Source organism: Homo sapiens, chromosome 16 (genome assembly GCF_000001405.40).
Source record: "Homo sapiens chromosome 16, GRCh38.p14 Primary Assembly".
In the NCBI taxonomy this organism is placed as follows: Eukaryota; Metazoa; Chordata; class Mammalia; order Primates; family Hominidae; genus Homo; species Homo sapiens.
This window is the reverse complement of record NC_000016.10, coordinates 25,488,752-25,505,319: the sequence shown is the minus strand read 5'-3', so window position 1 is coordinate 25,505,319 and position 16,568 is coordinate 25,488,752. Positions and strand designations below refer to the sequence as shown.

Genomic DNA, 16,568 nt, shown 5'->3' with positions numbered 1-16,568 from the left:
CACATGTTTACCTATGTAACAAACCTGCACGTCCTGCACATGTACCCCGGAACTTAAAAAATAAAATAAAATAACTTTTTTTAAAAAATGAAATGTTAGCCTTAGTTATCTACAGGAGCTGCATATTAGGATAATTTTTATCAGTCCACTTTGCACTATTCTGGGCATTGCTTTAAAGTTTTAGTAATTATCTGTCAACTTTAAAATCAGAAAAATAATTCCACTACGTTAAAAGCAATAAAAATAAATTTCCAGAGAATAAGGATTTGGCTAAGAGAACTACAAAGGAAGTAGTGAGAGTTAAGAGAAAAACAAAACAAAACAAAAAAAACCAACAATAGAAAAATGTCAATTAAGAAAGTTACGAAAAATGTCAATTAAGAAAGTTACGAAGCAATTTTCAGTAAGAAACGGAGTACTCAGATGCTGTAGAGAGGTCAATTAAGAAAAGGATCAATATATTCCCCTTACAGTTAACAATTGGTTCTTTGGTGATCTTGGAAGGTTTCAGTTTAGGAGCTGGGGAAGGAGTCAGAATAGAGCAGGTAAGGGAGGAAGAGTGGAAGGAGAGAGAACAAATTTGGGGAATGAATGGCTACTGAGGAGCATACATTGTTATGCCCCTTGGTGAAGGATATGAAACAGATAACAGACCCTGAATCGTCCTTGGCCAATGAGAAAGAGCACCTGGGCTTTGAGTCTAGCAGTCAGACCTCATTTGACACAGCAGACGTAAATTTTCAGAACTAAGATATTCATGGAGGGGAGCAAACTTCAGCTTCCCCGAAACCTGACTGAAGAGAGCCCAAAAGTGCTTTTCTCCTTCACGCAGTTGCACACTTAGGAAAAGCAGAATTCCAACATCTGCTGCTCTCTATTGAGCTCCAGGTTCACACTTCCCACTGGTACAGGACAAATCTATTTGGAAGTCCACTGGTGTTTCAACCCCAATATATCAAAATGAATTCCTTACCTTAATGACTGACCTCCTGTGTTCTGATCTTGAATAGAAAGCATCACCATCCACCTAATTTCCAGACTTTATAGTCATCCTCAGTGTCTCACCAATTCTTGATTTCAACTCCCAATTGCTGTCAAATTTGTCTTCTTATTTCCTACCCACTACCAGTTCTGGAAATTCGTTCTGGACTTCATCATTTCTTACAGAGACAACAAATGATTCCATAACTGGTCTTTCTGCCTCCAGTGCTTACCTCTTCATTCCATTCTCCATATGTGTACCCAGGGTGATTGCTGCAAAACCTAAGATGGAGCTGGGCACTTTGGGAGGTCGAAGTGGGGGGGTCACTTTGAGCTCAGGAGTTTGAGACCAGCCTGGGCAACATGGTGAAACCCCATCTATACAAAGAATACAAAAAAAAATTAGCTGGGCATGGTGGCTTACACCTGTGGTCCTAGCTACTTGAGAGGCTGAGGTGGGAGAATTGCTTGGGCCTGAGAAGCAGAGGTTGCAGTGAGCCAAGATCGAGCCACTGTACTCCAGCCTGGGTGACAGTGAGATCCTGTCTAAAAACAAAACAAAACAAAACAAAAACTAAGATCATCTAAAATAATTTCATGGCTATTCATCAACCCCAACATAATGTGGTAAGACTTAAAGATGAAGGATAAGGTCCTTTTACTAATTGGCTCAAGCCCGAGTACCTTACAAACGTAATATACCACCACCACTTCCCACACACTTTAACTACATGAAACTATCTTAGGAAATTTGCAGCTAGGTCCTAGAACATAAAAGTCCATCTTCTTGGAAAATTTTCTCCCTCTCTTTACCTGGAAAACTCCTACATATTAAATGGAGAGCAAGAACATCATTTGTTTTGTGAAGTTTTGACCCTCTTAAGGGAAAAGGCCTTGTCTTTATTATTTTTGCATCACTCCTGCCTTGCATGGTACCTGGAAATCAGCAGGAGATTAAAGAAAAATTGAACGTTTGTGCTTCACTCTAAGTTCTTGAAGCACAGTCAACTCAACCACTGAATAAGCGCCAGTGAGCACATTTAAAAAGTCATGAACAATAGATACTGTTTCTCTTAACTCCCAACATTTTCCCTTTTAAAATGTGGTGGGGTCGGGGGAGGGGGGAGGGATAGCATTGGGAGATATACCTAATGCTAGATGACACATTAGTGGGTGCAGCGCACCAGCATGGCACATGTATACATATGTAACTAACCTGCACAATGTGCACATGTACCCTAAAACTTAGAGTATAATAAAAAAAAAAAAAAACTATTTGAGTGCCAAGCACAGTGGCTCACAACTATAATCCCGGTATTTTGGGAAGCCAGGGCAGGAGGATCACTTGAGCTCAGGAGTTCGAGGCGAACCTGGGCAATATACTGAGACCTTGTGTCTACAAAAAATAGAAAAAAAAAATAGCTGGGTATGTGGAGCACATCTGTAGTCCCAGCTACTTGGGAGGCTGAGGTGTGAGGATTGCTTGAATTCAGCAGGTTGAGGCTGCAGTGAGCCATGATTTCTCCATTGCACTCCAGCCTGGGTGACAGAGACCCTATCTCAAAACAAACAAGAAAAATCTATTTGATCACTATATCAGTCATATCAGTCATTATATAAATGTGTGGGTATTTTCCAGGCACTACATGAGAGTCAGGGAATGCAATGGTAAACAATATACATATCTTGCTCTTGAGAAGCTTAGAATCTAGTATGATTCTCAATTGTTTGCACTTACTTCCATCTCCTTGCCTCTGAATTCCTTGCTGAATACAGCAACCTACTAACTAACGCTTGACCTTGCATTTTGGACACTGGCACTGCTGAATGGCTTTTGGCTTCTTCTCTACTTGCTCTGGCTTTGAAGTATTCCAAAATCACTAGGGATAACTACATTTTAGCCCTGGGACACTGTGAGAACACAAATGCTGCTCTGACCCCTGACTGCTATCCCTGGTTTTATCAAACCTGACTTCTTTGAAAATATTTGGGAAAAATGAATGGCTAAAGAATTTTTCAGTCCCTTTTTCTCCTATGACCTTCTTTATTACTTTTGACGCACAGTAGTTTTTGTGTCATTTGCTCCATTCATGTTGAGGACTATAAGCATGCGAGACAGAGGGTCTTAGATGCAGACAATAAATTTTCAAGCTGTCCTTTTCAGCTTTGCAAGTGAAAGAGGGATGCAGGGCTGAATGGAGGAGGATGAGGAGCTCGAGTGAACTGTCAGTTTCAAGAAGGTCATTGAGTATGTTCAGGCTGCCAAGTTCCTGGGATTGTTCCCAAACTCCCACAGTGCTGCCTCAATCTGGCTACAGACTCTGTGCCATAGACTAGGATCTGTGGCTCATTCCATGGAACTAAGCCAGGTTTCTCTGGGGTCTCAGATGCTTCCATGGGTGTCAACTGGGTACCTCAATAAGTCACATTCTTGCCTTCAGTTTTCACATTTGTATTTTCTGGTCAGAACTAACAATTAAAATAGTTTATTATATTTAGAGTAAATAATAATATAATTCTATATTATTCTGTCTATGTAAGTACGCTTGAAGCATCTTTAAAATCTCCAAAATGGCTATGCTGGGCAGGACCATGGAGAGCATCCAATGCATCCTCCCACTGTGTCTAACTCACTTCTAGAAGCATGGCTGCAACAGTAACAACACAATGTTACCACTGGAACCCCTCTTCCTGGAATTACTGAAATATCTTCCAGGTGTTGCATAAGAAAAGTATTGAATAACCTTAAAAGGCATACTTATTGTGGAGTAATAATGATAAAATTAAACACTGAGTGAACAGTTATTACATGCCAGTTCATATTATAATAATTTTCTATGTAGTAACTCATTTAACTCTCCAAATTATTGTTTTTCTTACTTTACAGTAGAAGGGAAACTAAGGCATAGAGTCACAAGTACTAAACATGAAGCTTTTGCAATATCTCTTCTTCTGAAGTACACAACTTTAGCTACACCCAAGGTAAGTTGATACCCCCCCACTGCCCCTTTTTTTTAGACATGGTTTCACTCCATTGCCCAAGCTGCAGTGCAGTGGCACAGTCATGGCTCACTGCAGCCTTGGCCTTCCGGGCTCATGTGATCCTCCCGCCTCAGTCTCCCAGGTAGCTGAGACTACAGGTGCTCACCTGCATGCCTAGCTAAGGGTGCTGTCTCTTGAAGTGTTCAGAATGTCCTCTTTATACTTCATGTCCTCAGATTTTACTATGAAGTAGGTGTCCATGTATGGGCCCTTTCTTCATTCATCTTCCTTAGTAGCCAGGGGGCCCTTTGATCTGAAAAGAATATCTTTATTCAACTCTGGGGAGTTTTCTTATGTTATCTATTTAGTTATTTGCATTTCTCCATTCTATCTATTGTCATGAAACACATGTTAAACATATCATACCATCTTGGTATGGCCTAATCACCCCAAATCTAAACTGTAGTATGGAGAAAATGTCTTATAAAAGTGGTCTTTGACTCTCAATGCATCAGAATCTTCTTGAGAAATTTTTGAAAATCCAGATTTTTGGAATCTCAAAGATTCTGATTCAGGAAGTTTTGATTGAAGCACAGGTATCTATATATTTTTTAAATGTCCACAAGTAACTGTGCAACTTAGAAACTGAGAACCTCTCTCTTTGTAGGAATAAACAATGTACATGTTTTCACCTGTGTCAGAGGTAGACAAGTGATAAAGAATTCTGGATCCTGATCAAGTATCCCCAATAAAAAGGAGAGAGAAATGTGGTATTATGCAAATACGAACTGAAGATACTCAGTGTGTACTCCTAAGGTTCTTTCCATTTTATTGACTCTAGCTTTTGAATTTTTCTTAAATTGCGTCTACTTGGCCACAGTCTACTCCCCCGTATGTTGTGAGCTGTTGCCTCCAAATTTGTCTCTCCATAAATCTGATCATTTCTGCTTTCTATACATTAGCAATGCCTCAAATTTTCTTATCTACTAATGGCAACCCTCCTTGTTTTCCATGCCATTATGAATTTATTCTTTTTCACAGCTCCTCTATTCCTTCAAGAAATTTTGAAGGCAAAGGATGCATCTGTGTCTGCTCCTTCCACCCTCAGGAGCCAATTCCTCCTTTCACTTTCTCTGAATTTGGTTTTAGGAGGTACTGTTTTTATCTACTATGGAAGAGAACTTCATCAGTTCAACTCAAGGATGAAATTCAAGAAGGATTTCAACATATTTTTTTTCCCTATAAAAAAGGCTTGAGGCCAAATGTAGAGAAATGACCTCCTTCTTAAGTCCTATTTGTCAGCTAGGCTTGGAAAGAGTTCCCTTCCTCCAGAAAGTCCTTCTTACTATTCATCTTTCTTCCTCCACATCCATATGACTGCCCTCACTCCCTGACATATGGCATATACTCACAATGCTTGTCCTAAAAGGAGTTTCCAGCTGGACTGGAGCTGGAAAGACCCCTGGATCACGCTGATTATATTTCAGTAGAGAGCCAATTTCCAGATTCACCCTGGCGTACAATTTGGATGCTAAAAAGTCTCTTAGCATGCGATTTTGATGCTAAGTGAAGGATGCTTGTTTTCAATGGAACACAGCAATTCTGTAGAGCAAAAAGCTAGAAAGGACACTGGAGCCATAGCTTTCAGATCCCTTAACCAAAATGTTCAAGAGATAGAAAAACTGCAGAATACAAAGAGATGCTTAAATTTTCCTATGGACAAGCCTTATTTTATAAATCAAGAAAAATAACAGGAATACTCAAAGGATAGTGAATAACTGAAATTATTTTTAAGTTTGTTTCTCCAGGCTGGACTGCGGTGGTGTGATCTTGGCTCACTGCAGCCTCTGCCTCCTGGGTTCAACCGATTCTCCTGCCTCAACCTCCCCAGTAGCTGGGATTACAGGTGTGCACCACCACACCCAGCTAATTATTGTATTTTTAGTAGAGATGGGGTTTCACCATGTTGGCCAGGCTGGCCTTGAACTCCTGACCTCAAGTGGTCCACCCGCCTCGGCCTCCTAAAGTGCTGGAGGCATGAGCCTTGGTGCCCGGCCTCATTTTTAAGTTTTAACATTTTAACTCCCATATCTGATTCCCCTTGCACAGTGGGATGCTGGCTAATACTGATATGACCAACCTAGAACATAGAGCCGCCAGTGACACAGTGAGGACAATGTTTTGTCAGTGGCTTTGCCACATGGAGCTGGAAGAAAATACCAATTCAAGACTTGGAACAGGAAGCCTGAACCTTGGTTGCATCTTAGAATGACACCAATGTCCCAGCTGTCCCTAGACCAGTGACAGCAATATTTCTGAGCATGAAATCTAGTCCTTAATATTTTTAAAGCTTCCCAAATACTTCCAATTTGCAGACAAGGTTGAGTGGGCAATTGTAAGGTGAGCATTGTGAACTGTGATAGAAAGCTAAGGAAGTTAAAGATTTAGGAAAAGGGAAAACAACCGAGGGTGACAATGTGCAGATAACATTCAGGAGACTGTTTAATTGGACAGGATGAAATAGACATTGATGTTCTCTAAGGCTCTAGGAAAAGCCCCAAACTATCACACCAGTCTTGCCCCATACCTACAACATACCCAGCATGGTGACGGATAGCAGAGCTATGATTTATGAGACCTAATCTTGCCTTCCAGAAGTCAATAGTGTGGCGGGAAAAGATATATAAGTGACTAATTATGTCCATCAGAGTAAATCTGCAGAAAGATAAACTTTCAAATCGCTGTTGGAGCAAGGAGGAGGGAATGATACCATTAAGTCTGACTTGTGATTGAAGGGTACCAGAAAAGACATCAAAGAAAAGATGATCACTGAGCAGAAGCTTCAAGTATGAATTAAAGTTTCCTGAGCAGCCATGGAAGATGAAACATTCTAAGCAAGGAGATCAGAAAAAATAAAGTCATACCCATGAAGGGTTTGATTTGACAGTTGTGTCAGAGTGGCTATAGTGTAGGGTATGTGTCCAAGAACAGCAGAAGATAGTGTTGACAAGGTAAGATGGAGGGAAATGCTATATTGAGAATTTTGTACTTGATGGACAATGTGGCATGTCAGTAGTGAAAGTTTTTAAAAGGAGGGTGACGAGCAGATTCATGTGTGTTGTAGAAATCTTCCTGGCTATAACGTGAATTTTGAGTATACGAGGAATGCATAAAAATAAGATCTACCAGTTGGTTGTTACAATAATTTAGGTGTAACCCTTGCTAAAGCAGTGGCCATGTGAATAGAAGAAAGTGGGACAGACTAACACAGGGAAGATTTTAGAGAAGTTGATAACATGGCTATAGTGAAGAAAATAAAGTTAAAAATCAGAAATGATTTTTAGGTTTCTAGCCTGAGTGAATGGGTGGTACCATGAGCCAAAATGTGGACTAATGGAGTTTTGATTGATTAATTTGAGTTAATGGTGGGTTCAGTTCTGGATGTAAAGTTAACCATCCTATTTCCAACCATTGAAAGGGAAAGACCCTCAACTAACTTGCTCTCTAAAAAGCACATAGATAAACAGATCTCTGAGTTTCTCCAGGAGGCAGACTACCAAGAGCTCCTTGGGAAAGGATCTGTTTACCTTTCATGAGAGCAACTTAAAGCTATTAATGGTAATTTTCACATGCTCAAGACCCCTTCTGGATTTTTTTTTAATGTAATAGAGTTTATTTGAGCAAAAAGTGATTCGTGAATTAAACAGCACCTAGAACCAAAAGTTTAGAGAGGTAATCCCTGCTTAACATGGGCATTAGCTTTTATAGTCTAAACACAGAAGTAAAGTACAGAAACAACTGGATTGATTACAGGTAGGTACATGCCTTATCTGGGCATGGTCTAATCAGTTGGCTGTCTAGAAATGGCTGAAGCTCAGTTGCTGAGACTCGGTTATCTGTTTCAAAAATGATACTCCTAACTTAAGTGTTGATTTGTTTGTGTACTAAATTCAGTTGCAGGCTGTTACGTAGGAACTCAAAGTATGCAGACAGTGTCAGGCCAATGCCTTCCTGTTTCTTTCTTTTTTTTTTTTTTTTTTAACAATTTCTCCCTTTTGTTCACCCTCTCAATTTTGAGAGATTGACCAAAAACCTTGGGAATTGTGACCACTCTGTCACTAACATAATACACTCATTTGGTCTCAGTATGGAATTCACAAGTCACAATGGTGGATTAGTCAAATGATTATTGACCTTGTTGCTGTCCTAGTCATAATCACACTGCTTAACAAACAATGGATAGCTACAAGCAAACATTTAAGACACTTAAGAGGACACAGTGTGCCAGCAAGACTATTATAATGACTATCAGGAGGATAATACAAGGAAACTGAAGTGTACTCCATAGCAGAGACCTCCCCAAACTGAACTGATTAAAACATATTTAAAAAGTCAAATTTCACACAACATAGACAGTTGAACCATATCTGAGTCCAACTGGTGAAGACTCCTTTTATATCAAGTCAGGATCAGTCATTGGGATTTGCCAAATTCAATAGATATAAACTCAAAGGCCTCTTGAAGCAAGGCAGATGATGCAGGTCAGGCGGGGACTAGAGTAAATTAGAAAGTTTAAATACCATCAAAAAAAAAGCTCTTACTTCAAATGATTATTCTCATGCTTTCATAGAAGATCTGTGTTGCCAGATTTTTGGCTCTTGCAAAAGAAAGTCCTGTTTTTACATGTTGACAAGAAACTTATTTAAAAAAAAAAAGAATACTAAACAATGAAACTCATTTGTGACCCCTGGACTTCAAAGCTTCTTGAAGCTGAAGATTTATATATTTGTCTTGTGTTATCACTTTGAGATAACTTAGTGAGAGACAGTTCCAAAAGACTCTTTCATTTATAAAAGTTGCTCTTTTCATTGGTCCTAAATCTAATGCTTCCAAATATCTCATGATCCTTCTTTATAAGATTCCAGGAATTTAAGAACAATGCCATTTTCAATTTATCCATGTCATTTGTGGTTTTATTGACTTTAATCATAGCTCCTTTCAGCCTTCTTGTTTCTAAACTAATGTTACAGATTATTATTATAGGATAATACTTTCATAGGTACAGAAAAGTTTATGTCTAAAAATGATATTATATTGGGTCATCTAAAATCACTAAAACCTCTTCACATTAGAAGAAATCAGAGCCAGATAGACAAAGTAGATGTTCAAAGGTCATACAGCCAATTTCTGGCAGAGAATGATAACCTAGCTTTACTGGCCCTCACTCCTTTGTCTTCCTTGTGTCTGGGCTGAAAGCTCATTGTGGGCTTAACTTGTTTTTCTTTTTGGCTGTATCAGTTAGCTGTTTCTGCATAACAAACAACTCCAAAAATATCAGCAGCATGCTCACATGTGCGTTTGCTGGTCAAGTAGGTTCACTTGTCTTCAGCTACACTCTTCTGGGCTTCACTTCAGATTTCAGATCTGGTTCAAGTCACATGAAGTGGTTCTTCTGTTCTCATTTTGGGATCCAGGTTACCTGGGAGAAAGAATAGTGTCTACCTGAGGTATAGTCTTCTCATGGTGATGACCAAACAGATCTCAGAAGATCAAGCAGAAACATGCAGTGCCTTTAAAGCTTAGACTCAGAATTCATTTCCACCTATATCCCTCTGGCCAAAGCAAGTCATCTGGAAACATTCAGTGTCAGTGGGGCAGAGAAGCACATAACCTTATGGAGGTCATGGTGGGAGGAGGCGGTGAGCATATATGGAACACTAATCGTGTCTATCATGGCTACCACTAATTGAGGGAATATTGTGTCTGGCACTGTATCAAGCACTTCATTATTGTTAAATGTAACCTTCATGAGAATTCTATGTGGTATGTATAATCACCTCCATCTTACAGGTAAAAATATTGAGACCCAGAGAGATCAAACAAGTGGACAGATGCCACATATACTAGTAAGTGGCAGCATAAAATCTGAAAAGAGGTCACCAGTGCACACCGACACTCTGCCATGCTGGATCTTTTCTCTCTTCATTCTAAATGTTATTGCCTATTTTCAGAAGCTCAATATATTTGTGAGCCACAAAATGTGTCATTATATCAACAGTTGATCTATGTCTGCATGTTAGACAATGACAGTTATGGTCAAACACCTGCATGGTCAAACCTCTGTGATTAAAGAGAACAAAAGGAACAGAGTAGAAGGGTAAACAGGACTGTAGGAGGAAGACCATGGCAGAAATCCCATTCCGTATGTGCTTGCCCAGAAATCATGAAAATAAAAATAAAAATAAAACTCTGTGCCAAAATAATAGTGTGCAACTATTGGGTAACATGTCAGTTGTTTTACATTACAGCTTAGCCTTTAAGTTAGAACCATAAATAAGAGTGAATACTTCTTCTCTTGAAACACAACCCCAGAGATCATATAAATAACTGGAGCTCATTTAACTTGGGAGTTCAGATAGAGCAGACAAGTCCATGACATTAAGGCAAATGTCACTCTCTCTTCTTTGAACTAACACAGATTCCTAACCAGAAAGAGCGAGACCTGGCAATAACACTGACCGAAAGGAATAGGTGATGAATTAGGCCCTGAGTGAGAGATCATTGATTCCTCTGATGTTCTTCCTATAATAATGAGGTAGCCTAGTCTTCCTATCAGCTTTTATTGTGCCCTAAATCTTGATGCTGGGTTTCTCATTTGGTTCTCACTGAAAGTTGCTGTTCTGATCATTCTAGCTCTGCAGACTGGGAAACTGCTCTAATCTGACCAAGACTTTTCCCTGGGACTAAAGTGCTGGACTTGAACCTGCCTCATTCTCATCACTAAGCATGACTCCAAAAGATTCTTCAAGGACCTTCTGACAGGACTGATTTTGCTGTAAACCAGCCAAGACTGAACAGTCACTGAGTATCCAGAGCTTTAGTCACAAGGGAAGTTTAGGAGTAACTTCAGACTCTAAATTAGCCAATATCAGAGGCCAGTAGAGAAAGGCTTTGGAGCTAACTGAGTCCAAACTTGTCAGTATCGGCATCACATTTATAGAAATTCACGACCAAGTGATGCCCCCTCCATGGCTAACCTAGAGCTCAGTAAAGAGCAGCAGTCTAAGGCTGGCCGCAGTGGCTCACGCCTGTAATCCCAGCACTTTGGGAGGCCGAGGCAGGCGGATCACTTGAGGTCAGGAGTTCGACATCAGCCTGGCCAACATGGTCAAACCCCATTTCTACTAAAAATACAAAAAATTATCTGGGTGTCGTGGTGCACAGCTGTAATCCCAGCTACTCAGGAGGCGGAGGCAGGAGAATCACTTAAACTAGCCTAGGGGTCAGCAAACTATGACCTGGGAGCAAATGTGTTCACTGCTTTTTTTTAATGCATAAAGTGTTATTGAAACACAGCTATACTCATTTGTTTATGAATTGTCTATACCTGCTTTTGCATACAGTTAAGGAGTTGTGACAGAGACCATGTGTCCTGAAAAGAGTAAAATATTTACAACCTGGCCCTTTACATAAAAAGTTTGTCAACCCTGGTCTAGTTCTTTGAATATATTAAGGATAGATATTTCCAGGTCCCTGAGCTGAGAATTGTCTTCTGCACAGCTCACTGTCTCTCCATTTTTAGGGAAATAGTGTATCTTGCAGTTGGATTGGAACTATCATGAATTAATGTTTTTAAAGCTTAGATATTGTGGCATTTTTAAGATAGGTTCACAACTCTTTGTCCTTCCATAGAGAGGTGGAGTCTATGTCCCCTCCTCTTGAATCTGGGCAGACTTGTGAGTCATTTGTAACCACAGAATGTGGAAAAGTAATGTGACTTCTGAAGCTACATCTGAAGAAAAAAAAGACAGTACTGTTTCACCTTGCTTGTTGGAACACTTGTGTTGGGGGCTTGAGCCACCATTTAAGAAGCCTGGCTGACCTTAGGCCACCATGCTGTAAGGAAGTTCAAACCATTTGGAAAGGCCACGGCATAGGTATTCCGATCAGTTTTCTGTGCTGAGTTCCCAGCAGCCCACATCAACTGCCAGCCGTGTGGGTGAGTAATCTTGGACATCAGCACAGTTAAGCCTTTAAATCACCACAGCACCTGCCAGTATGCCAACATCTGACTACAATTTCATGAGAACTGCCAACTGAGGTCGGCCTGAATTCTTGACTTACAGATGATGAGAAAACAAAAGAGTGGACTGTGTGTGTGGACAGGGGAGATGTGGGGGGAGGAGGTAAATATATATACACACACACACACACACACACGTGTATATATATACACACACATATGTGTGTATATACATATGACTTCTGGTTTCCAGTTCAACATGTAAGGAGCTTAGAAGTCATTACTTCATCCTGACAAGTAAAAGCCTCAATGAACTAAAACATCAACAACTCTTCTTAGATATGTAAGAGAGGTGAGGACATGGGGCAAACCACTGCCCCCAACATTGGAGAGACCAACAGGTATACTGGAACAGAGACTCACTGCTTACTGGAGTTGCATCTTAGTGGAGCAGAGACTCACAAGCAAAAATCACTGCAGAAGCCCAATGCCAAGGGAGGGAAACCTGAACTGTAATTGACAAATTGCTGGAGGCTCAATATGAACAAATCTGAGGGTTAAAAACTCCAAGGAGACCTAGTCATGGAGGACTCCACAATATTGTGAGTTTTACCTCCAGGAGCTCAACCAAGTTCTCACAGTGGATAGCAAAGAAAAATTCCCATGTGCTTCTGGCTGCAGGAGGGAAAATGGAACCATTTGAAAATACACAAGAGCAATTTGTTTTTCTTAACAAAATCTGTCCTCAGTAAAACTATTTAACCAGAGCTTAACCTACTGAGGTTTTATCAAAGTCTTACTGACTTGGAAGAAGGGAAATATCCAACTCCAACCCCCTCCAGCCTTCCATGTGGAAAAAGAGAATTACCCAACTGCAGACCATTGTAGTTATCCTGTTCCCCCTAAGGGAGCAGGGAGAGAAAAATTAAGACACACCCGTAAAGTTCAAAGTCCAGAGACATAGGCTTACTAAAAGACTGAAACCTAATAACGAGACTAGAGAATGCTTCTCCTTATTCCATGCCTTACCACTACATTATTAGAGACCTATTTACAGGAGTTTATATGCTGTAAATAGCATATGCAGTATATATCAATAGTCACTTTAGACACCAATAGTCTAAATGCACTAGCTAAAAGATATTGTTAGAGTGGATGGAAAAACACAACCCTCTTTAAATTCACTTTAGTGTAAAAACATACTTAGATTAAAAGTAAATGGATGGAGAAAGATATGCCATGCCAACACTAATCAAAAGAAAGTAAGAATAACTATATTAATTTCAGACAGAGCAAACTTAAAAGGAAGGAAATTTATCCAGGGACAGAGAGGAGCATTATGTAACGATACAGGAGTCTCTAAAAAACATAACAATCTTTAACATGTATATACCTAACAACAGAGCATCAAACTAAATGAGGGAAAAATGGACACACCTGCAAAGAGAAATAAATGAATTCAACACCCCTCTATCAAAAAGGGACATATTCAGCATGCAGAAAATCAGTAAGGACACAATTGAGCTCAACAGCACCATCAATGAACTGGATATAAATTGTATCTATAGACTACTTTATCCAACAACAGTAGAATACATATTCTTCCCAAGCTCACATGGAACATTCACCAAGATAGACCATATTCTGGAAAAAAACTAGAAATCAATAACAGAATAACTGGAAAATCTCAATATATGTGAAGATCAAACAAAACACTTCCAAATAACACACAGGTTAAAGAATAAATTTCAAGAGAAATTTATTAAAACACAACTTATTAAACACAACTTATTAAAATTTGTGAGATTCAGTGAAAGCAGTGCTTAACAGAAAAATTTATAGCATTGAATGCATATATTAGAAAAAATAATCAAAATTAATCATCTAAGTTTATACCCAGAAAAAGAAGAGCAAACTAAATTCAGAGTAAACAGAGGAAAGAAATAAGTATTACAGCATAAATCAATGAAATTGGAAACAAGAAATCAATAGAGAAAATCAACAAACCAAAAGCTGGTTCTTTACTAGCCAGGCTAAGTAAAAAAGGAAGAAGACATGAATTACTAATAGAAATGAAGGAGGAGACATCACTACAGATCCACGGACTTTAAAAAGATAATAAAGAAATTCTAAGAACACAAATTTGAAAATTTGGATGAAATAGACCAGTTCCTTGAAAGACATAATCTGCCAAAGCTAACACAAGAAGAAATAGACAATCTGAATAGGCATATATATGTTAAAGAAATTGAATCAATAACTAATAACTTTCCTAAACAGAAGCAACAGGCCCAGAGGGGTTCACTGATAAATTCTATCAAACATTTAGGAAATAAAGTTACCAATTCTCTACAATCTCTTTCAGAAGATAAAAGCAGCAGATGCTTCCCAACTCATTCTGTGAGACTGGAATCACCCTGAAACCAAAATCAAACAGATGTATTACAAGAAAAATAACTATATATGAAGATCTCTCATGAACATAGATACAAAAATTTTCAGCAAAATATTAGCAAATTGAATCAAACAATGTATTAAAAGAATTATACATCACAACCAAGTGGGATTTATCCCAAGTATGCATGCCTAATTCAACATTCAAATATCAATTAATGTAATATATCACATCAATAGGCCAAAGAAGAAAAATCACATGATGATATCAATAGATGCAAAAAAATCATTTGACAAAACCCAACACCCATTCATGATTAAAAAAAAAAACTTTCAGTAAATTTGAAATATATAGGATACTACAGTGGTGGATACATGTTCTAACCAATAGAAGGTACAAAACCAAAAGTGAACCCTAATGTAAACTATGGATAATGAGTGATAATAATGCATTAATGCAGGTTCATCTGTTGTAACAAATGTTACCACTCTAGTGGTATGCACCAGTCTGAGGGGATTGATAATGGAGTAGGCTATACATGTATGGAAGCAGGAGTTACATGGGAAATCTCTGTATTTAAAAAAAAATTTTGCTGTGAACCTAAAACTGTTCTAAGATAAAAATGATTTTTAAAAAGTAAAATCTAAGCAAAAAAGAATTTTTTTGTAAAAAGAGTCTTAAACCAAAAGCAGGATCCATCTGACTATAGGTCAGGTCACGTCAGTTGGCTACAAGGGGTCTCTGATGGGTACAGTTCTCAACCAAGTACTGTGAGGAAAGATGGCACAGAGAAGGAGAAAGAGAGATTGAGAGAGAATATTTTTTGAAATTTTAAGCATAATCTATAAAAAAGTGCACACATCATGAGTATACATCTTCAAAAGTTTTCTCAAAGGGAATAAACCTTGTAACCAGCACCAAGACTAAGAAACAGAACGTGACCAGCACCCCAGAAGGCCCCTTTGTTCCTCTGATAGGTACCTCTATCCTGTCTTCTAACAACTTAGATGAGTTTCACCTGTTTTTAAGCTTTATATCAACAGGAACCAGACTGCACATTTTCTTTTATGCTTGGCTTTTAAAATTTCACTTCATGTTTGTGAGATTCAGCCATATTACCATGTGTAGCTGTGGGTGCAAATTATCAGAATGGTGAAACCAAGGGTGAGAGAGGCTGCTGAACACACCAACTTGCTTCAACTAACTACCTATAGAAAAATCCTAGACATAGCTGGGAGGAATATCTGCCACAAAGGGACCACGACACAAGGAAGAACAGATCTTTGAAAAGAAGACACTGACAGTGAATGGAGAGAGAACACAGACACTGGGCTGAAGTGAGAGGAAGCTGGGAACCCTGCATGAGGCAATCATGCTCCAGGACTTGTTCCTGGGCCCTAACAACTGGGGAAGGGGTGAGTTGAGCAGGCGAGGGGCAACCCATTCTCACCATGGACCTCAGGAATTCTGGCTACAAGAGACACTTGAGCTGGCAGGGAGAGCTGCTTAAAGAGGTGGTAGGGACAGGATTCTAGCCTGTGTGGAGCCCAGAGGGTTTGGTGCAGGAATGTCTGCAGAGGAGCACAGCCAGGGATGTCCCTCCCTCAAGGCTCATCATACTGCTGTAGGAGACTCTAACCTTAGGGGAACTGTAAGACCTGAACAGAGTAGGGCAATCTTGTCCATGAGATGGGTCCAGTCTTACCTGGGCACCCTTCTGCTCGCCGGCCTCTCCCTGGGACTCATTCTCACCATGCCTGCTTGCAGTGCAGCCTCAGATGCCCAATCAAAGTGCTTCCCAGGGGACCACATCATAGTTCCTGTGCTGGCAGACCATGCCTGACAATTGGAGAGCTCCAGCAGAGTGGCCCCCTCTGACATGCACCAGCCTACCCACAACCTCCCCCCATAGCAGCCTCTCCTGTACCACTTCACTGGTGTGCACTCACCTATGGCCACTCCACCATCACTTTGCTGGCACCTGTGTGCATAGGCAGACCTCACCCCTTCCCCATTGCTGCCTGCATGAGAGCACCCACACACCCCCACAACAGTGCTATTGTGCCACCATTGCTGGCATGAACACACCCAGGGAAACCAGCAGCCCCACCCTCTGCTCCATGCCACCACCACCACTGGCATGAACACATGCATGGAGGTCACCAGCCCCGTGCCTGCCAGCACCCC

General features: G+C 39.9%; 1 long non-coding RNA gene across 1 annotated transcript; it reads right to left on the bottom strand.

The window, feature by feature from the left end:
• Positions 1–499: 499 nt before the first annotated feature.
• On the bottom strand, positions 500–9,512 carry LOC105371147 (uncharacterized). Its single transcript, XR_950936.3, has 3 exons — positions 9,314–9,512; positions 4,130–4,276; positions 500–1,527 (listed from the first exon to the last, which is right to left on the bottom strand). It is a non-coding gene; the product is annotated as an uncharacterized LOC105371147 (long non-coding RNA).
• Between the last annotated feature and the right edge of the window lie 7,056 nt (positions 9,513–16,568).